The 23,097-nt window shown below is 43.0% G+C and overlaps 1 long non-coding RNA gene across 1 annotated transcript, besides 3 other annotated features; it reads right to left on the reverse strand.

Annotated features, from left to right (window-relative positions):
- Positions 1-3,475: 3,475 nt before the first annotated feature.
- On the reverse strand, positions 3,476-6,033 carry LOC105372101 (uncharacterized). Its single transcript, XR_935441.2, has 3 exons — positions 5,815-6,033; positions 4,337-4,479; positions 3,476-3,547 (listed from the first exon to the last, which is right to left on the reverse strand). It is a non-coding gene; the product is annotated as an uncharacterized LOC105372101 (long non-coding RNA).
- Positions 15,722-16,450: an enhancer, noted in NCBI's record as "OCT4-NANOG-H3K27ac hESC enhancer chr18:45494112-45494840 (GRCh37/hg19 assembly coordinates)". NCBI's record gives its function as "activates a minimal SCP1, AML or CMV promoter by ChIP-STARR-seq in naive H9 embryonic stem cells {active_cell/tissue: H9 hESC(naive)}" and the evidence as "EXISTENCE:reporter gene assay evidence [ECO:0000049][PMID:30033119]".
- Positions 16,065-16,265: a silencer, noted in NCBI's record as "peak3141 fragment used in MPRA reporter construct". NCBI's record gives its function as "represses an SCP1 promoter by STARR-seq MPRAs in K562 erythroleukemia cells {active_cell/tissue: K562}" and the evidence as "EXISTENCE:reporter gene assay evidence [ECO:0000049][PMID:32103011]".
- Positions 21,561-22,061: an enhancer, noted in NCBI's record as "H3K27ac hESC enhancer chr18:45499951-45500451 (GRCh37/hg19 assembly coordinates)". NCBI's record gives its function as "activates a minimal SCP1, AML or CMV promoter by ChIP-STARR-seq in naive H9 embryonic stem cells {active_cell/tissue: H9 hESC(naive)}" and the evidence as "EXISTENCE:reporter gene assay evidence [ECO:0000049][PMID:30033119]".

Below are 23,097 nucleotides of genomic sequence, written 5' to 3' on the forward strand. Positions count from 1 at the left end.
GAGAAAGACTGATGTAGTGCAAGAAGGTCAGGTGCTGGATCCCTATTATTTTCCTCTCCACATATGCCAGGCAGGCACTTACACATTCTAAATAGATTTGGGGAAGTGCAAGGACATCAGGGCTAGCAGCTCATTTCCCTGGACACAATACAGGTAGGGTAGAAACCCTACCTGTGGCTACTTTGAGCACGGAAGAAGCTGAGACAGGTTTGGCAGATGATAGGCAGTTAGATGGACCATGCGCTCCTGGCTCTCCATGGTCTGCTCACAGACAGCAAAGGATCCATGTGAAGCCAAATGCCCTGGTAGGGAATGCAACAGTGCTGAGAAGGTCAGGGGACCAGCAGAAGCAAGTGGGGCTAAATTGCTGGGCTCAAAGGCCCCAGCAACATGTGCTAGCGCAGAATCCCAAGAAGCCAGGTCGGGGTAGGTACTATTCAGCAGTTACAGGTTCAGATACAATCCCTGGGCAGCTGACACCTTACGGGGGATTGGTCTCTGAGAAGTAAGAATTTATAAATTGAAAGTAGCCTGTTTAAACCAGAGGAGATGGGATACTATTCACTGGGAAGCCTTAGGGCTCCTTACTGTCCAATGAGGAGGTGCTCACGGGGAATATCAGAAATATATTGATGATGTATTAATATTGAATATCAGTACAATATTAAACCAAAATGAAACCACATTTTAAAATCCAGCCAAGTGTGACTTGAGTAATCTGCAACATTGCTAACACAGTACTTTTTTCTTTGTTTCACTCTTTCATGAGTTCTATTTTTTCTGTATATATTTCTGTTTCCAAATGTCTATAAAAATAATATAAAATACAATTACCCTTTTATAAAAACATGTATCACCTCTGAAATAAAAAATACAATACCTATTTTAAAAAATGTGTTTGTAGCCGGGCGAGGTGGCTTATATCTGTAATCCCAGGATTTTGGAAGGCCAAGGTGGGAGTATTGCTTGCACTTACAAGTTTGAGACCAGCCTGGGCAACACAGCAAGACCTCGCCTCTACTAAAAAATAAAAAATAAATAAAAATAAATAAGCCAGGCATGATGGTGCTCACCTGTAGTTCCAGCTACTCAGGAGGCTGAGATGGGAGGATCACTTGAGCCCAGGAAGTTAAGGCTGCTGTGAGCTGTGATTGCCACTGCACTCCAGCCTGGGCAACAGAGCAAGACCCTGTCTCTAAATAAATACATAAATAAATAATAAAATGTGTTTATATATCAAACAAGATCAGAAGAGACTCTAGGGTAACGTTTCAGTTAAAATTATTTTCTGTAAAGTTAAGTGTACAATAAAAATTCAAAGATTAACAAATTTGGGCCTCCTTAATTTTGTCACTTACCCATATATTTCATCTTTTTTTTTAGGTGAAAACAAGCCATCTCCACTGATTTTCAATTATCTGTACTCTGGAAGTCCAACACACCCTTGCCTAATTAAGCATATGCTTCCTAGGATTAGTGCAGGAGAGATTTACCGCCTAACGCGGCTCTCCCAGCTCCCAGCACCATCTGTGCATTGAGCCGTGCCCAGAGTGATTTGGTGATTCACTGGAACCTGGCAAAGGGTCTGGCCAGGCTCCGACAGAAAACAGGATATGGTAATTCTCTCGAGGCTTAGCCCAACTCTGCTGTGGTTTCCTTGATACACTCTCTAGTTCCTCAAGACCAGCCTTTGGTTTTCATTGCTCTGCAGTGGTGTTTCCACATCCACACCCTGGTTCAGACAGAATAAATTAGACAATACATTTGTGAGCTCATTACTTCTCCAAGAGGCCTAGAGAACAGAGTCTGTTACCCAAGGTCACACTGTTAGCAGTGGCAGAATGAGGACAGGACCCAGGCACCCAGCTGTTCATCCAGGAAGACTAGAGCATTTGAGGAAAATATCCACAGCCCAAAGTAATCACTTGTTACCATGAACAGTCATGAACCCCCCTTTCACTTTTATGATCCACTCGAGGGTGGCTCAAGTTCAAACTAATCTAGTCCCACATGGAATTCACTGCAAATGATTTCTAAATGTGGGCAGGATTGAACTGTATTTAAATACAGACTTTCTTCTCCCTGGGCCCCCCAAAGGCTGCCCTTTCCACAGCCTCCCTACCCTTCCCCTGTGCCTACCAGTAACTGTGGTTTCTTGGTAAGTCAGCTAAGGTTCATTATCATTATTATTATTATTATTGATAGGTTATACAAGCACAGTGTACAGAAGTCAAAAAGGACAAAAATAGTAACCAGTAGAAAGTAATTATTTTTCTTACCTTCAGCCACTCAGTGACCAAAACACTGGTATCGGATTTTTGGATATCTTTCTGGAGTTATTCCATGAATGTACAAGTATACATATTTATATACATATATGTCATTTTTTGAAATTGAGGTTGGGACAAGAGTCTGGCTCTGTCACCAAGGCTGGAATGCAGTAGCATGATCTTGGTTCACTGCAACCTCCGCCTCCCGGGTTCAAGTGATTCTTGTGCCTCAGCCTCCCTAGTAGCTGGGACTACAGGCACGCACCACCATGCCCAGCTAATTTTTTTGTATTTTTAGTAGAGATGGGGTTTCACTATGTTGGCCAGGATGGTCTCGGACTCCTGGCCTCAAGTGATTCACCCACCTCTGCCTCCCGGGATTACCAGTGTGAGCCACTGCGCCCAGCCGGAGGTGTGCGCTTTACACTGTTATCCTTGCTTCATCTTCATTTAACATCTCTTGACTATTGTTCCGTATTAGCATGCATGAACAAGATAGCCATGTATTTCTGATGCCAAATATACCTAGTGCTTTAAAATTTATCTCCAAAGCCACGGTATTCTGTGTCCATTTACAGTCAACAAAAACTGTCGTTTCTATTCCTGTCAAAGTTATGGCTGGGAGGATTTTAACAACTAATGATCGGAGATAAGTAAGCACACCAAATATATAAATACTGGATACTCCCTGTATAAGTCCCATCAATTGCCATATATTAGGTATCAGAACCTGGCATCTCAGAGTTGGAAGAGACCTTAGAATCATGTGGTCTTTTTGCTCAGGAAAAGAATCCCTTTCACATTCTTCCTGACAGCGTCACCTAACCTGTGCTTAAGCTCCACAGGCATCCCTCCTCCTCTAAAAATAAGACATTTTACTTCTAGGGCATTTAAATCCCAGTCTTATATATATTTTTTTAATTCTTTTTTTTTTTTTTTTTTAGAGATAGGACCTCGTCGTGTTGCCCAGGCTGGCGTGCAGTAGTCATTCACAGGCAAAATCATAGCTCACTGCAGCCTCGAATTCCTGGGCTTAAGGTATCCTCCTGCCTCAGCCTCCCAAGTAGCTGGGATGACAGGCATGTGTCACTGCACCCAAGTTAGTTTTATATTAAAACTTGACTTCCTAGTGGCCCTTTGACGATACTGATGGCTGCTGCTGTGTTACCTCAAGTTTTGTCTCCAGGCTGTCCTTCTCCAGGGCGTTCCACTGCTCTACCAGCACCCAGGTGTCCACATCTCCACTGTCCTGGGCAGGTACCTTGCTGCCACATTGTCTGAAAGAGAGGCATTAAGACCTGGCTGCAGTGACGCAGCTGGGGCCTGACCAACACAGAGCAATAAGCACACAGTCAGGCCTAGAGACTGAAGGGTGTGGCTTGTGCCTTGCTTACCTTTTCCAAATATTTCCTGACTTTCCTTGAGAAAACTCAGAACAAGTGTTACCCTATGGGTTTAGCGGCCATATTTTCTGAGCCAAAAACTGCACCTCCCAACCACCAGCCAAATTGTTGCCTTCTGTGCAGCAAAGACCATCCCACGCCCACCGATGCAGAAAGGAGCAGGTCTAAGCATTGGTGGGCTGATACCTCAGCCCAGCACCCCCCTGTGGCTCCTGGAAGTTCATGGGTAGCCTCTGAAAAGACTGCTTGGCCACCATTAGGAGTTGTGCTGATTCTGTGATTTGAAGTTATGGTATCAATTTGGTAAGAACTAAAATGATTATCCACGTTTGTCTTGGGCTCACAGGGCTTTCAGTGATGTGCCCCCCACCCTGATTTTGAGGATGAAGCTGGATAATTATCACCCTGTGACAGTGAAAATGATGCTAATCAGTGCACAGCTGATGAGAATAACCAGATACAGAGTCTCTCCACCTAGCTATAGGTGGCTTTTAAATTAGTTGCTGAGAAGACAACGGACACACCTACATCAGACCTGTCCAGGGGACCAGTGGCTATCCTTAGGCTTGGATCAGAGCGTGAAGAAAGCCATAACCTCAGCAGCTCTAAGGGGCACTGTGTGATTAAAGAAAGACTTAGGGCCCAGCACTGAGAGACGCGTACACAGTCCAGATGGAGAGAGGCGGCAGGAGATTCATCTGCACTACCACTTCTGAGAAAGCGCATGCATCCAAGCAGGAGTGTTTTCATTCCGGTTCTGGGCTCATTCAGCAAGCTTCTGACAATGGATCTGGTTTCCCAGTTACCTGGAAATCAAGTACAGGTATCTGTGAAAAACAGGCATAATTCTGAGCATGCCGATCCTCGGAAGGACGTACTTCCCAGGAAATTAGTCAGTAGTCACACAGCTTTCTAGGTCCAACTTTATTAATCAGGAGAATGAGAGCCTGTTACTGAACATCTGGTCAATTAAGGATAAATGGAAACCAACTGAGTTGCTGTGACATCTCCAAGAATATGACAAGCTGGGAAACCCTGCCTAGGTGCTGGCTAGTACTGTCTTTAAAGGCAACACCGAGTCCTGCTTTCTGGGACCCATTCCTAGGCTCCTCGATAGCTTTTTGGCACCTGACTCTCATTCTTTCTACCTTTCCTGCCCTCATCCCAGTTCCTTTCAACATTCATTTCAACTACCTGACAGTGCATGTATTTCTGCCCCCTTGACTCCCTGGACCATTTCTCTACTCCATACCAGTGACACTGCCAGTCTCACCATCTCACTGATGGCTCTGGTCTGGTGAGCTTGTCCTTAGAACACCCTCTCTGCCATCTCACCCACTCTACAACCTTTAGCGAAAGTCCTCTTTGGGTCCAGACTCTATTCCATCAGCTCCTGTGAACTGAACTTTTCTGGCTCTCCTCTTACTTATCTGATCACTCCTTTTCTCTCCTTTGTTTCCTAACTCACTGTATCAGCCAGGAATTACATTTAGCTTCATATAATAGTACCCCTACTACAGAGGCTTAACAAAATAAAGATCTTTTTTTTTTTAGATGGAGTTTCACTCTTGTTGCCCAGGCTGGAGTGCAATGGCGCAATCTCAGCTCACTGCAACCTCTGCCTCTCGGGTTCAAGCGATTCTCCTGCCTCAGCCTCCCAAGTAGCTGGGATTACAGGCACCTGCCACCATGCCTGGCTAATTTTTTATATTTTTAGTAGAGATGGGGTTTCACCATGTTGGCCAGGTTGGTTGAACTCCTGACTCAGATGATCTACCTGCCTTGGCCTCCCAAAGTGCTGGGATTACAGGCGTGAACTGCTGTGCTTAGCTAGATTTTTTTTTTTTTTTTTTTTTTTGAGACAGGGTCTCTCTCTCTCACCCAGGCTGTAGAACAGTGGCAGAATCATGGTTCGCCGCAGCCTCAAATTCCTGTGCTCAGGTGATCCTCCCATCTCAGCCTCCCCAGCAGCTGGGATTATAGGCACACACCACCACGAAAATTAACAGCAGTTAATTTTTTTTTTTTGTAGAGATGGGGTGTCATTACGTTGTCTGGGCTGGTCTCAAATTCCTGGGCTCAAACTATCCTCCCACTTTGGCCTCCCAAAGTGCTGGGATTACAGGTGTGAGCCACCATACCTGGCCTCGTTTTTCTTATTTCACATGAAGTGCACAGGTAGACAATCCAGGACTGGCACAATGGCTTTGCAATGTTCCCAGTTTCCCAGGCAGCTTCTATCTTTCTGCTCTCTCATCCTTAGCAGGTGGCTTTTGTCTTCATGGTTAGCCATGACTGCAAAATGGCTGTTCAACCTCTTGCCTCCGGTCCTCCATCCAGGCAGAATGAGGGGAAACCACAAGGAGGAAAGGCTGTCATTTACATGAGAAAAGAAAAACCTTCCCAGAAATCCCCAGCACGCTTCCACTTAGGTCTCATAACCAGAGACGGTGTCACATACTCATCCTCACTGCAAAGGAGCTGGGAAATGTATTTTTGGAAGCAGGACCATTGCTGCTGAGGGTTAAGTTAGTAAAGAAAATCAGGTGGATACCAGGTTGGCAACTAGCAGGGTCTGCATACCTTCTACACATGTGATACTCTCCAAGGTTGAGGGAATCCTTAGCCTTTTGTTCTTTTCTGTATACACTTTACCGTATCTAATTCTAGAAGCTTCCCTATTTCTGTCATCCAAGCCTTGGAATCCTCCTTGATTTCTTCCTCTCCTAAGCTCCATGCTGTGTTCAAATACCAAGTCCAACTATTTATTGCATGGAAATAATTCATATGTTCAGCTATTTTTGGGGGGCAACCACAGTCACTACCCCCACTTAAAGGTAAAAGCCATATTCCTCAGAGGTAAAGGATGGCAACAGCCCCCTAATTCTAGTCCATGCCTTCAGTGTCTTCCCCATTCTACTCCTACCTCTCACTACCATACTCCTCTTTATCACCTACACTGTGACCTTGTCACTCCTCTGCTCAGAACATTTCATGTCTCTATGCCACCCACCAGACAGGATGGCATTTGAGACTGCCAGAATTTGGCTCCCATGTACCATTCTAGACTTCATCCCACTACTCTCTTACTGAGCCCTCAAAACTAACAGGTGAATTCACCAATGTGTTCTGCATATCTCTTGTGTTCTCCAGCCTTTGCATCTTAGCTCACATTGATCATCTCTTCCGGGCTGCCCTCTGCCTCCTTTTATCTCTGTTTCTGGGTCTACCTCAAATCCAGCCTCCTCCATAAAGCTTTTCCCAACCACTTTAGCCTACATGGCTTTCCATTTTTGCTTGGGGGAGAGGGGTACAGTTTGATGATGCTGTAAAGAATACAAACCTTGGCTGGGTGCGGTGGCTCATGCCTGTAATCCCAGCACTTTGGGAGCCCGAGGTGGGCAGATCACGAGGTCTGGAGATCAAGACCATCCTGGCTAACATGGTGAAACTCTGTCTCTACTAAAAAAAAAAAAAAAAAAAAAATTAGCCGGGCATGGTGGCGGGCGCCTGTAGTCCCAACTACTGTGGAGACTGAAGCAGGAGAATGGCATGAACCTGGGAGATGGAACTTGCAGTAAGCTGAGATTGCACCACTGCACTCCAGCCTGGGCAACAGAGTGAGACTGTGTCTAAAAAAAAAAAAAAGAACACAAACCTTGGCTTCTGGGAGACCTGGGTTCAAATCTCAACTCTCCCATTTACTTATCTCTGAGACCTAGGATTGGGTAGTTAACCTCACTAAACTTCCAGTTTCTCATATGTAACTTGAGTCAGAGATTATTAGTGCCGATCTCAAAAGATGCTGGGAGGAATAAATGCCTGACACATGGCAAGGGCTCAGCATCTTCCTGTGTGGTTATTATCACAGCAGACATTGTTGTTTACCCACCCAGATCCTTCTTAATAGACCAGCAGATTTTCAAGCAACTCCTTCTCCTACACACAGCCACCTTCTTCAGAGAGAGCTGATTCAATCTCCCACTATAGCTCGATTCTTTCTTTATTGATATATCATAGTTGCACATATTTGTGTGATATAAGTGATACTTGACACATGCATACAATGATCAAATCAAGGTAATTGGGATATCCAACACCTCAAACATTTATCTTTTCTCAGTGTTGGAAACATTAAAATTCTTCTAGCTATTTTTAAATATACGATAAATTAACTATAATTACCCTATCATACTGTTGAATACTAGAACTTATTCCTTCTATCTAACTCTATTTTTGTACCCACTAAGAAACTTCTTTTCATTTCCCCCTCCCCTCTTGCCTTCCAAGTCTCTGATAACCACCATCCTACTCTTTGCCTTCCTGAGTAGCTCCCACAGGAGCTAGATGGTCTAGACCCTGCCTGCTTTTCTGACCTCATGTTCTCCCACCAGAATACGATGCAGCAGCCATGCTTGGCTTTGTTGTTTCTCAAACAAGACAAGCTTCTTCCTGCGTCAGGACTTTTGCTTTTATTATTTCCTCTGAGTGGAATATTCTTCTCCTGCCTTTTCTCTTCCTTGAAGTCATAATTCAAACATTACATCCTTGGAGAGGCTTTTCCCAAAACCCTATCTAAAGTAGCTCCCAAACCCGTTGCATGCTCCTGTTGCAGGAAGTCAGGGACCCCAAATGGAGGGACCGGCTGAAGCCATGGCAGAAGAACATAAATTGTGAAGATTTCATGGACATTTATTAGTTCCCCAAGTTAATACTTTTATAATTTATTATGCCTGGCTGGACGTGGTGGCTCACGCCTGTAATCCCAGCACTTTGGGAGGCCGAGGCAGGCGGATCACCTGAGGTCGGGAGCTCGAGACCAGCCTGACCAATATAGAGAAACCCTGTCTCTACTAAAAATACAAAATTAGCCGGGCATGGTGGTGCATGCCTGTAATCCCAGCTACTAGGGAGGCTGAGGCAGAAGTGCTTGAACCCAGGAGGCGGAGGTTGCGGTGAGCCGAGATTGAGCCATTGCACTCCAGCCTGGGCAACAAGAGTGAACTCTGTCTCAAAAAAAAAAAAAAAAATTTCTTATTCCTGTCTTTATTGCAATTTCTGAACATAAATTGTGAAGACTTCATGGACATTTATCACTTCCCCAATCAATACTCTTGTGATTTCCTATGCCTGCCTTTACTTTAATCTCTTAATCCCATCATCTTCGTAAGCTGAGGATGTATGTCACCTCAGGACCCTGTGATGATTGCGTTAACTGCACAAATTGTTCGTAAAGCATGCGTGTTTAAACAATGTGAAATCTGGGCACCTTGAAAAAAGAATAGGATAACAGCGATGTTCAGGGAACAAGGGAGATAACCATTGGTCTGACTGCCTGAGAGCTGGGCAGAACAGAGCCATATTTCTCTTCTTACAAAAGCGAATAGGAGAAATATCACTGAATTCTTTTTCTCAGCAAGGAACAGCCCTGAGAAAGAGAATGAGTTCCTAGGGGTAGGTCTCTAAAATGGCCGCTCTGGGAATGTCTGTCTTATACAGCTGCAGATAAGGGAAGAAATAAGTCTTGTTCTCCTGTGGCGCTCCCAGGCCTATTAGGACAAGGAAATTCCTGCCTAGTAAATTTTAGTCAGACTGGCTGTCTGCTTTCAAACCCTGTCTCCTGATAAGATGTTATCAATGACAATGCGTGCCCGAAACTTCATTAGCAATTTTAATTTTACCCTGGTCCTGTGATCTCGCTCTGCCTCCGTTTGCCTTGTGATATTTTATTACCTTGTGAAGCATGTGATCTCTGTGACCCACACCCTATTCCTACACTCCCTCCCCTTTGAAAATCACTAATAAAAACTTGCTGGTTTTGCGGCTTGGGGGGCATCACGGAACCTGCTGACATGTGATGTCTCCCCCAGACACCCAGCTTTAAAATTTCTCTCTTTTGTACTCTTTCCCTTTATTTCTCAGACTGGCTGGCACTTAGGGAAATAGAAAAGAACCTACGTGAAATTATGTTGAATTATCGGGGGTGGTTCCCCCAATATGCTCCACTCTTTTTAAAACAGCTTTATTGAGATACTATTCACATACCATACAATTAACCCATTTGTGTGTACAATTTAATGACTTTTAGCATATGTACAGAGTTGTGCAGCTATCACCACAATCAATTTTAGAACATTTCCATAGGCCCCATTAGCAATTGCTCCCCATTTCCACCCAATCCCCCCAGGCCTAGGTAACCACCAATCTACTTTCTGTCTGTATAGACTTTCCTATTCTGCTTATTTCATATAAATGGAATCATACAATATACATTCCTTTGAGACTGGGTTCTTTCACTTAGCGTGTTTTCAAGGTTCATTCATGTTGTAGCATGAAACAGTACTTCAATCTTTTTCATGGTTTGATAATATTCCATTGTATGGTTATACCACATTTTGTTTATTTATCCATCCATTTATTTATCAAACAAATGGATTGATAAATTTTACTTATCTGTTCATCAGTTGATAGGAATTTGGGTCATTTCCACTTTGGGGTTCTTATGAATAATGCTGCAGTGAACATTCATGTACAAGTTTCGTGTAGACATATATTTTCATTTCTCCGGGGCCCTTCGTTATCTATTCCTTCTAAAACAGGGGTTAGAAATCTTTTCCAGCAAAGGGCCAGACAAGTAAATATTCTAGGCTTTATAAGACAGTCTCTAGAGAAACGACTGAACTCTACCACTGCAGTGAAAAGCAGATGCAGACAACATGCGAACAGATAGGTATGGCTGCATTCCGATTGCATTTTATTTAAGAACACTGAAATTTGAAAGGCCATATAATTTTCTTTTTTTACGGTTTTTAAAATTTTTAAATTTTTTTGGGTACATAGTAGGAGTACAAATGCCATGTAATATTCACATCATGAAATAATATTCATCTTTTGATTTTTTAACAACCATTTAAAAATATAAGAATCATTGTTAACTCGCAAGCTGTATTAGTCCATCTGTGCGTTCCTATAAAGAAGTACCTGAGGTTGGGTAATTTTTAAAGAAAGGAGGTTTAATTGGCTCACAGTTCTACAGGCTTTACAGGAAGCATGGCTCCAGGATCTCCTCCTGGTGAGGGCCTGAAGAAGCTTTTGATCATGGTGGAAGATGAGGGCAGGAGCAAGACAGAGAGAGGAGATGCCACAGTCTTTTAAATCACCAGATCTTATGTGAACTCAGAGCAAGAACTCACTCATTGTCATGAGGACAGCACCAAGATATTCATGAGGGATCCACCCCTATAATCCCAATGTTGGAGGTGGGGCCTCCCACCAGGCCCATCCCAACATTGGGGATTACATTTCAACATGAGATTTGGAGGGGATAAACATTCAAACTACATCACCAACTACACAAAAACAAGTGGCAGGCCAGGTTAGGTCCATGGGCCATATGTTGCCAATGCTTACTCTATAACATAATACGTTGATTTCCTTCAAAGCAGTTATTACAAACCTTGTGTGGCTATTTGTTTAGCTGTTTGCATTTCCTTCCATGAGAATGCAAGTATCATCAGATAGTAGACAATCAACATTTGGTTGGATTAATATATGTACTCTAATTTGTCTCATTGATCTCCTGTCAATAGATATTTGAGTTGTTTCCAATTTTGTGAAGCTACACACGATGCTTCCGGGAATGAATCTGCCAATAGGTATAAATATTTTAAGTTGTAATGAATTCGACAAATTATCCTCCTAAAAAGTTATATTAGCAAACATATGAATGTGCCCACTTTCCCATACCCTATCCAACACTGAGTATTATCTAGTGGACAAACAAATAAAACAAAGATGAGATTTAAATGTATCAAGTATTAGTGATGGTGTGGACGTTTTCTTAATTATTGGACCCCAATTTGTAAGAGCGCTCATGGATTTGTGCATAAGGGAAATTAACTCCTTAGCTGTCAAATGTATTGCAAATACATTTTTGCAGTGTTTTTATATTTTGATTTTTTATTTCTTGGCTTTCGACTTTTTTTAGGATGCCATTTTTTCCATACAGAAAGTTTCCTTTTTTTAAGTTGTCAAATGTGTCAAATGTTTTCTTTATTGCTTCTAGTTTTCACATTGTGCTTAGAAAGGTCTTTTTCATTCCAAGATTTTAAAGATGATTCATCCTTGTTTTCTTCTAGTAATCTGAGGTTTTCTTTCTCTTTTTTAACATTTTAATCTTTGGATTATTAGTAATGATCACTAGGACAGGTAAGGCCGGGAATTAGCTTTACTTTGTCCTAAACAATGAAACAGTTATCTGTATAAATCATCTTTTTTTCTGCTGATTTGAGATGCCAATTTTAGGATACTACATTTCCAAAACTACTTGGTATATTCAGGGTGATATCAAACTTTTTAAACACAGATACAAGATATACTCCCCAATCAGTCGGAACAGAGCATCAACACATCACGGCAAAAGAACCATGGAAAGGGACAGTGGTAGGCTCAGGCAGTCAGTGTGGCATGGGCCACACAGCTTGATTTCTGGACTTGGCTGTGGCTCCTCATCCACCTATCTAGTCCTGCTATCCTATCTCCTCTAAGAGCAGAACTCCTGGAGCTGTGGTCCCACAGGGCCTCATTAAATGCTTGACCTAACAATGAAAACACCTACTCCTAGGCTTTGAGTGGTGTTTGGTTTGACCAGAAACGGCCTGGTATTTAAGTGACTCTTACTCAAGGATCCTGTTACACACAGCTCAGAGCATCTGATCTGACACATAGGCTGTGTGCACGCACAGGTGAGTATGTACATCTGCCACACTCATCAGCTTTTAGCATCACCGTCATCACTGTAATTCTGGCTTAACAGGCTATTAGGAGAGCAAAAAGTCTTCCTTATTTTGTAATGCTCTGTAATAGTTGAATAGCATCAAAATTAATCTGTTCCTTGAAGTATTCATACATAAAACTCTCTAGGCCTGGCACTTTAACAGTTTCCTTCTTCTTTTTTTTTTTTCTTTTCTTTTCTTCTTTTTTTAAGAGACAGAGTCTCACTCTGTTGCCCAGGCTGCAGTGTAGTGGCACAATCATAGCTTAATTGCAGCCTCGAACTCCTGGGGTCAAGTGATTCTCCGGCACTAGCCTACCAAAGTGCTGAGATAACAGGTGTGAGCCACCACGCCAGGCTGACAATTTTCCTTCTCAATTTATCCCATTGTTTTCCTTGTTGTTACTAACTTGAATTTGCCTTCTTCTTTAAAACTTATTTTGAATAACATATTTTCTTAGAAAATTGTCTATTTTGTTCAGATTTTTAAGTTATTGGGATAGAGTAGTGAAGTTATTCTTCAATAATTACTACTTATTCTATTTCATTACAGTCAGACAATGTAACCAGTACAGATTCTTCTTGGAATTCATGTAGGTTTTTATTGTGATCTATTTGATAAAAATTTAACATTTCAGGTAGGATAGGATAGAGGTTAAGAGCCAAACCATCAAACCATATGGGGTTGCAGCTCAGTTCCACCACTAACAAGTGACTTTTAGGAAAGTTTTTTTTTGGAGAGGGAGTCTCCCTCTGTCGCCCAGGCTGGAGTGCAGTGGCGCAAACTTGGCTCACTGCAACCTCTGTCTTCTGGGTTCAAGTGATTCTTCTGCCTCAGCCTCCTGAGTAGCTGGGATTACAGGCGCATGCCACCACACCCAACTAATTTTTGTATTTTTAGTAGAGATGGGGTTTTGCCATGTTGACTAGGCTGGTCTTGAACTTCTGACCTCAGGTGATCCACCCACCTTGGCCTCCCAAAGTGCTGGGATTACAGGTGTGAGCCACTGCATCCCTGGCCAGGAAAGTTATTTAATGTCTTAATGTCGCCATATGTAATAGAGGGATAGCAATAATGTTGCCAGTTTCAAATGGCTAATAATACATGTAAACCACTAAGAACAGTATCTGAAACATAGTAAATACTCAGTAGATGTTAGTTTTCTGTATTTTTTAATTTTATTTATTTTTTTGAGACAAGACTTGCTCTGTCACCCAGGCTGGAGTGCAATGGCGCCATCTCGGCTCACTGCAACCTCTGCCTCCCGGCTTCAAGTGATTCTCATGCCTCAGCCTCTGGAGAAGCTGGGATTACAGGCGCCCACCACCATGCATGGCTAATTTTTATGTTTTTAGTAGAGACGGAGTTTCACCATGTTGGCCAGGCTGGTCTTGACCTCCTGGCCTCAAGTGATCCACCTGCCTCGGCCTCCCAAAGTGTTGGGATTACAGGCATAAGCCACCATCCCTGGCCGTTAGATTTTATTACTATCAGCCTGTGGTGTTATCTCTTTTCAAGTATGCTTTGTAAAATTTTACAGTCTTAATCTATAGAGAAGCTTAACCAAAAAAAGTATCCTGTTTCCTAGAGAGATTCTTCTTTTAGAATGTTCTTTATCTAATTTATACTTGATCTTTATTTTTTCCTATCTTTATCTGTTTTCTCTATCTCTTTTCTCTTTTTCTCTTTCTCTTTTCTCAATGAATAGAAATCTTTTTGGGGTGGGAGGTGGATAGTGAGGCATATTATTCGTCTTCAATGAAACATTCTATTCCAGCTTATTATTTGCCCAATAATTTTGTTTGAAAATTATCCTGAATTGTTTGCCTTTTTTTCCTGAGTGGTGTGTAAAATGTACTTGGAATTTAAGTTGCAAGGCAGGTCATTGATGGCAGCCTCTGACAGTGATATCTGCCTGCATGGAAAGATGGGAAGGAGGTAGCAGTAGAAAGGATCCTAAATGCATTGTCTCTGATCATCCCTCTTTGCACGCCTCTCATCCCACGGAAGGGGGGTTCTCTTCTGGTTTTGGCTGTCCCTCCACTTTGGGACCAGTAGGTCATCTGGAAAGGTTTTCCAGTTATGAAATTGAGTGAGGCCAAATGAAGACAGCTTTGGGAGATCTCCTTCAACCCTACCTTCCTGGCCCCAAGCAACACATCTCCTTTTTCGTTCGTGTCTTGCTCACTGTTTAATATGGCTTGGCTCTGTGTCCCCACCCAAACCTCATGTCAAATTGTAATCCCCAGTTTCAGAGGAAGGGCCTGGTGGGAGGCCATTGGATCATGGGGGCAGATTTTCCCTTTGTTGTTCTCGTGACAGTGAGTGAGTTCTCACGAGACCCGGTTGTTTAAAAGTGTGTGGCACCTTCCCCTTCACGCTCTCTCTTGTGCTCCACTACATGAAGATGTGCCTGCTTCCCTTCACCTTCCACCATGATTGAAAGTTTCCTGAGGCCTCCCCTGTTGTGCTACTTGTACAGCCTGCAGAACCATAAGTCAATTGAGCCTGTTTCCTTTTTGTTTTAGACAGAGTTTTGCTGTTGTTTCCCAAGCTGGAGTGCAATGACACAATCTCAGCTCACTGCAACCTCCGCTTCCCAGGTTCGAGTGATTCTACTGCCTCAGCCTCCCGAGTAGCTAGGATTACAGGTGCGTGCCACCATGCCTGGCTAATTTTTTGTATTTTTAGTAGAAATGGGGTTTCACAATGTTGGCCAGGCTGGTCTCTAACTCCTGACCTCAGGTGACCTGCCTGCCTTGGCCTTCCAAAGTGCTGGGATTACAGGCGTGAGCCACTGCGCCTGGCCAAGCCTGTTTTCTTTATAAATTACCCTGTCTCAGGTAGTTCTTTCTTTTTCTTTTTCTTTTTCTTTTCTTTCTTTTTTTTTTTTTTTTTTTTTGAGAAGGAGCCTTTCGGGCAGTAGCATGATCTCAGCTCACTGCAAGCTCCGCCTCCCGGGTTCACGCCATTCTCCTGCATCAGCCTCCCAAGTAGCTGGGACTACAGGCGCCCACCACCACGCCCGGCTGATTTTTTTTGTATTTTTAGTAGAGACGGGGTTTCACTGTGTTAGCCAGGATGGTCTCGATCTCCTGACCTCGTGATCCGCCCACCTCGGCCTCCCAAAGTGTTGGGATTACAGGCGTGAGCCACCGCGTCCGGCCTCAGGTAGTTCTTTATAGCAGTATAAGAACAGACTAATATATCATTTCTTATTCCATATGCATGGAAAGGGACCCTGTAACATTAGGAAGCAGTTGTCCAAAGACTACCCTCACGTCTGACAACAATTGCAAGTTTGAGGGTTCCCAAGACCACCCTTGCATTTGATAATTCACTAGAAAGACTCACAGAACTCAATGAACTCGTATACTCACAATTATGATCTATTATGGCAAAAGGCTACAGATTAAAATCAGCCAAAGGAAGAGGCCCATGCAGCAGAGTCCAGGAAAGTTCTAAGCATGGAGCTTCTGGTTGTCTCCTTCCAGTGGAATTAGGTAGAGTGCGACTTTCCCAGTAATTATGTTTGACAATATACACAAAGGATTTCCCACCAGGGAAGCTCACTCAAGCCTCAGTGTTCAGAGCTTTTATTAGGGCTGTATCACTAGGCCCGGTGGAATACGCATGTCACGGATCTCAGTCTCTAGCCCCTCCAGAGGTGGAGCTGATACCATGTGACCCAAAGCCCCACCCTAAATCACATTGTTAGACTATCTGGAGTGACCCAAGGCACTCAGAGAAACAAAAACATTCCTATCAGGCATGACATTCCAAGGAGTTTAGAGATTACCTCCCAGAAGCCCAGCACACAGAGGAGACCTCTTTTGGGCAGGGTTACATTCTTTACAACACTTCCTCTGTGTACGCTTCCATTTGCATTTCTAAATCTGTACCTGCTTTGAATCAGAGGAAAAAGATGTCAGACCCTGGTCCTCTCCTTTCTTTTGGATCAGATTTCTTCGTATCTGGCAGCCAGAGCTCCTGGCATCTAGAACGGTGCTGGCACCTCAGCAGCACTCAGTAAATATTTGTTGAATGGATGAAATGTGTATGTATGAATGAATATCTTTTAAATACGTGGTGTGAGATTGTGGCCATTCTCTAGTAATATCACGGTGGAATAATTTTTTCTTTATTTTGGCCTTTGTTCTTTGGTGGATTTCAGAGGGAGTGGTGATGCCCTGTCTCTCGAAGGGGATCCTTTTGTTTTACAGATCAGGAAGCTAACTTCAGAAAGGATGTCACCGGGCCACTAATGAGGGACAGAGATGGGATTAGAACAGAAGTTTCCCCCAACTTCTAAAATTTCTCTAAGTCAAATGCTTTAGTTTATCTTTTTCTTACAAAAATGACAAAATTCTTTCTCTCTAATGAGTTTGTTACCAGACAGCAAAACTCCCTCAGCTGGGACAGCCTGCAGTTGCCCAGCCAGCCTGTGGTGTTGGTATTAATGAGTCAGAAATCCATCAGTTCCAGGGCTGGAGTAGAATAAAACCGCTAAGGGCCTAGACACTGATTCCACCTTTGAACACTGGCAATTCATCGTGTTTGCATTTATTTTGAGACTTGATTGTCTAACTGGATCTCTCAAGTGTTCCATTGTATTTTGGTTTTAAAAGAGAAGTTCCCGCTTGGGTCAGTAGCCAAGCTCTTGGCATCAGGTACATTCTTCAAAAGGACTTTTTAAAGGTAATGCTTGACCTGACAGTTAAGATTACAATGAAAAGACAGTAGCAGCAAGCTCAGGAGTCCAGAATAAAAGGTATTAACATAGTGTGTCTTACATGGCAGGGGTCCCCAACCCCCGGGCCATGGACCAGTACCCATCCATGGCCTGTTAGGAACCAGGTGGCACAGCAGGAGGTGAGCGGTGGGCGAGGGAGCATTACTGCCTGAGCTCCACTTCCTGGCAGATCAGCGGCAGCATTAGATTCTCATAGGAGTGCGAACCCTATCGTGAACTGTGCATGTGAGGGATCTGGGTTGCACACTCCTTATGGTGATGATCCAAAGTGAAACAGTTTCATCCCGAAAACCATCCCTCCATACCCTGGGTCCAGGGAAAAATTGTCTTCCACGAAACTGGTCCCTAGTGCCAAAAAGACTGGGGACTGCTGTATATGGGGTTGTTCCCCTGCAACCATCAGTGTCTCCTGAGGTTCCTGTCACATCTCTGACCCAAAACTAACTGCAAGATTGACATTCGCACAGCACTTACTATGTGCCAGGCAATATCATAAGTGCCTTGTAGATATTGAACCATTTATTCCTCACAGTGACCTGCAAGCTGCTGTTATTGTCATCATCCCTGCTGGGGAAACTGAAGCACAGACAAGTTACGTAACTCATCCATGTTTTCTCGGCTGGTAAATAGATCTAGATTCAAGCACCAGCAGTTCAGTTTAAGTCCAATATATTGCTTCTCTTCTTCCCACCATGCCCATGTTCATGATTGTAATACCAGTTATATTACATTAAAATAAACATTTAGGATATGTTGGATTTCCATTGCTATGTAACAAATGACCACAAATGTGGCAGCTTAACACAACACGGATGAGTCATCTCACAGCTTCCCTGGGTCAGGAGTCTAGATACGGTTTAGCTTGGGTCCTCTCTGCAAAGTCTTGCCAGGTTGAAAGCAAGCTGCAGCCTGAGCTTCCATCTCATCCAAGGCCGGGGTCCTCTTCCAAGCTCACTGGTTGTTGGCAGAATTCAGTTCCCTATGGTTATAGGTCTTGCAGTTGCTTCTTCAAGGCCAAGAGAAGAGCATCTTTGCTGCTCTAAATCTCTGACTTCTCAGCCTCTGACTTCCAGACTGTCTTTTGAAGAGCTCACTTGATTAAGTCAGGCCCACCCAAGATGATCTCCCCTTTAAATAATTGACAGTCAACTGATCAGAGATCTTCATTACATTTACAAAATCTCTTCATCTTTGCCGTGCACATACAAGGGGGTCAGGGATGGGGCAGGAATCTTGAGGGCCTTCGAAAATTCTGCCAGTCATAACACTGAAGCAGAAAATGTCATGAAAGGGTAGAGTAGAGGAGGGGTGGGAGTAACAGAGGAGCAATCCTTACATGTACGTATAGGAGCCTCAGGTCTCTCATTAGCAGCAGCTGGTAGAAGCTATTCCTTCCTCACCTCCACCACCTCCTTGTGACTACTAACTATCAACACGCTTTGGTGTGACACATGCTGGCTTGACCTGTCTTAGAAAACCTTTGCACTCTCTTTGCTACCTGCCTCCCCCGACCCCACCCGCCAACTGCAATTCCTTATGCTCTGCCTCAATTCTGCCATGAGCAACTCCACCCCAAGTTGTATGGCCTTCCCATCCAGGCTGCCAGGGCTGGGTACCCATGAAGGTATGGTGTCATTGAGAGCTGATTAAGGGCAGTAAGTAAAGGTGTTAGCTGTGATATCATCAAGAGGAAGCTAAGAAAAAAGAGGAAGTGTGCCGGTTTATGTCATCTTGGCTGTTCTGACACATTCTCAAGTGTCTCCAACAGGAGCTTCAGACTCTTAGAATGATATTATCGGATGATCGAATAACCATCAAATAAGCTGTTAATCAAAGTGTACTTCTCCTATGAATTACCTTGACCCCTCCCCACTATTTCTTACATACCCTTCACAGCGTTTGCCAGACATCATTCCTGCAAATCTGGAGATAGGAAAAAAGTGTGCTGGGGCTGAAGCAATAAACAGCTTTGTCTATGTCATGGGACAAAGTCAGTTAAGCTTTTCTAGGAGACAAAGCCTTACAGTGATGAGTCTGCACTTAGCAGCCATGGAGTAAAGGGTTAGGGAAGAGATGTTTGTTTCTTTGTTAAGCTATAGAGGTCCCTTCTGTTGTTTGATAAGACCAGAAGAGCTAAAAATAAAGCCCGGGAGATGTAATGTAACAGCAGTGAGAACTCTTCTTTGTTAAAAAAATATCCCCACTGATGAAGCTTCCTGAATGAGAGTGGAAGGAGAGTATGCAAATGATCTAGGGCCAGGAACGACGTCACAGACCTCCATATCCACCACCACCCTTTCATCCCCCTGTGTCCAGTCCAGCACTGTGCTTGTGGAATCTGAATAAAGATTGAATTTCCATCTGGAGTTTCCATTGCAGTTTGTTGTAGATAGTGCTTTTGCCTTTTTGGGGGAGAAGGGGGCTTATGAATTCTTTTCATTCATTCATCCATTCAACCAATATTATTTAATGCTGAAAAAGAGATTATTTCTGTTCTTGGGACACTAACAATAGACAAACTTTCTTTTTTTAATTTTTACTGTTAAGTTCTGGGGTACATGTGCAGGATGTGCAGGTTACATAGGTAAACATGTGCCATGGTGGTTTGCTGCACCTATCAACCCATCACCTAGGTGTTAAGCCCAGCATGCATTAGCTCTTTTTCCTAATGCTCTCCTTCCCCCTACCCCATCCCCTGACAGGCCCCAGTGTGTGTTGTTCCTCTCCCTGTGTCCATGTGTTCTCATTGTTCAGCTCCCACTTATAAGTGAGAACATGTGGTGTTTGGTTTTCTGTTCCTGTGTTAGTTTGCTGAGGATAATGGCTTCTAGATCCATCCATGTCCCTGCAAAGGACATGATCTTGTTCCTTTTTAAGGCTGCATAGTATTCCATGGTGTATATGTGCCACATTTTCTTTATCCAGTCTATCATTGATGGGCATTTGGGTTGATTCCATGCATAGACAAATTTTCTACCTTTATTATGGTAGGTAAAACAGAAAGCAAACAATTATATAATGTAATGTAATATATGATGTAGAGTAGTGATAAGTGCTATGAAGTTCTCTTATGAGAGTATGATAAAAGTTATGGTTCTTGGCTTAAAAAAAAAAAAAAAAAAAGAAGTTGGATTCAATGTTGCCTAGAATTTCCAGAGGGTCATATATCCTCTGAATCCTGTCCACAGAGCTACTCTCTAGCAGTGGCTCTCAAGCCCAGTTAAAGTGTGATTTAGTAGTACTGATATGAGGTCTTAGAGCCTTTATTTTTTTAAGTTCCACTGGCGATTCTACTGCACATTGTTCTAAAGGGTCTGATTTTAACCCACATTATAAAAAAGAAAAGAATAGACAAATGTAATTTACAGAAGGCTTACAAAGAAAGACAAGCATACCTACAAGACACCTAGCCAAAGGCCTGCACTGAGCTCTTCAGAATTTAGAGTCCAGTGGCCTGTGCTAAAAGGCTTTCCAGCCTTGGGAGACAAGGTCCAGTGTGCCTCTGAGGCCATCTGTATTTGCTTAAGCCCATCCTTTAATGCAGTACTCCTCCCCCTACCTTTTTAAAAACTCATGTCCCGCCCCTTTGGATCCAAATTAAAACCTCATCTTTTTCTGGATATTCTGAAATAAAGTCCTTGGTGGAGTGTAATCCCCAAGAGAGAAGTGCTGTATTTTCAGTGTAACCTTATAAACTAAGACCGTTCAGCCTTGTTTTCTAAAATGTTCATTATAAAAGTACCAAGATTAAGATTATATGTTGGTGTTTGCCATACTTTTCTAATACATACCATATAATTATGTCATTCTACCTCTTTGCCCCTTTTCTGGTATCTCTCACCAAATGTAAGGCTTTGTAGCTTATGATTAAGGCTATGCATTTCTGTTCTCTGTTCTATTGTGATTTCTAGGTAGAAGAATAAGTAGATGGGAGAAGGGAGGGAGAATCTGAACAGCAGGGATTCTTGTGTAAAGATGCAAACATTTGTTTTCATTCCCCCCTGAAACCCGATGAGAGTGCCAGTAAAGGGATTTTTAAAGGCACAGACCCACATCAGTGGGGAAATGGGAGAGTAGAAAACAGCAACAACACTTGACACTGGAAAAGCAGCTAGATAAGGGGTAATTTACTTAGCAGACCCAAGAAAACGGAGAGAAAATGGAATCCTAAGCCAACAGTGCAGAATGTGAGAAACCAACTCACTTTGTGAGCCAGAACCCCCATAAGGCTTGAGAGTAGGCGGCACCAGGCACTTCTGGAAGTGGAGGTGAGAGTGACGGGTGCTAAAATTAGGAGAATTGGTTTATGGTCTGTTTATGAAGCAGTCACATCTCCACATTTCTTCCCCAAGTCCGGGCAGCCAGGTTCTCCCCCATTCTGGACAAAGATGGGAGACAGTAACACCAAGGGTCTCTGGTCTAGGAGAGGCAGGCACTGTAGAGAACAAGGATGGTGAAGTCCCCAGAAGCCATGTCTCCACTCCCCCAAATCTGTTGGCCAGACCTTCACCCTTTAAGCAGGAGCTCAGTAGAGTCCTCTTTGATCATCTGACCTGCCCCAGAGAATAGACCTAAAGAGACTGATACGGAAGTTCCACAAGGAAAAGATTCAAACACACTAAGATGAAGTTTGCAGCTGACAAGTTTATGTACAGCCCAGAGCTTCCAGTAAGATTATTTGTCCACTGGACCTAAACACAAACAACATCCCTATTTCTTAAAATGGAGATAACAATGTCCCTATCGCATAGGGATGGATGGATGCGAGAGATGGATCCATCTCTCACATAGAGACGGATAAATGGACAAGCTGAGAATTACCAGACATCTAAAGAAATCCTCTAATGTGAACAATAGAGACCAAAACAAATAGAAAATAAAGTTGCTTAGAGGCTCTGCTACTTAGAACAAGAACCAACACCACCCCATCCTCATTCATATAAATACAGCTATATATTTATATGGAAATAGATATTCATAATATGTTAAAGTGTGTGTATTTAATACATATTCACATACACATATACACAAAGAGTTACTGGAAATTTAAAAGACAAGAGTAAATCTGAGAAACTTAACAGGAACTTGGAAGTTAAAATTGAGGATATCTCCCAGAAAGCAAAGCAAAAAGTTAAAAGGGTAAAAAATTGGACAGAAAAGAGAAAATAATGAAACAAGTCCAGGAGTTCTGATAATCAAGTATAGAAACTCCAGAAAGTGAGAGGAAGGAAAAAATAGAGGAGAGGAAATCAAAGAAATTAGTTCCATAACATTTCCCAGACCTGATACATTTTCTGGACTGGAAAGGCCGTGAGTGTCAAAATGGACCCACACAGAGGTAGATGACTGGAAATTTCAAAACACTGGATTCAACTGGATCCTGCCATTTCCAGGGAGAAGAAAATCAGGTGTAAAATAATTGAGAATCAGGATGGCAGAAGGTCACTCAACAGCAACAGCAGAAGCAAGAAGGCAATGGAAGTTGGCATGGTGGCGCATACCTATAATCCCAGCAATTTGAGAGGCTGAAGCAGGTGGATTGCTTGAGCCTAGGAGTTCGAGACCAGCCTGGGCAACATGGCAAAAGGGGTTGCATTCGTGGAACCTGGACAATTACATAAATGTGAAAACGAGGTAACTATTCTTGTAAGAACAAAAAGCACAGGAAAGTAAAGGTAACCACAGTCTAGTTCATGGCTCAGGTATAGACAGCTTTTGCCTCATCATAATAATGTAAAGGACAGAGTCTATCCCCTGCATCTGCGGATTCAGCCAACTGCAGATCCAAAATATCTGGCAATAGAAAGAATAAAAAATAATAATACAACAATAAAAAATACAGATAAAAACCAATACAGTTTACCGACTATTTACATAGCATTTACCTTGCATGAGAT

This window comes from Homo sapiens, chromosome 18 (genome assembly GCF_000001405.40).
Source record: "Homo sapiens chromosome 18, GRCh38.p14 Primary Assembly".
NCBI classification, from domain to species: domain Eukaryota; kingdom Metazoa; phylum Chordata; class Mammalia; order Primates; family Hominidae; genus Homo; species Homo sapiens.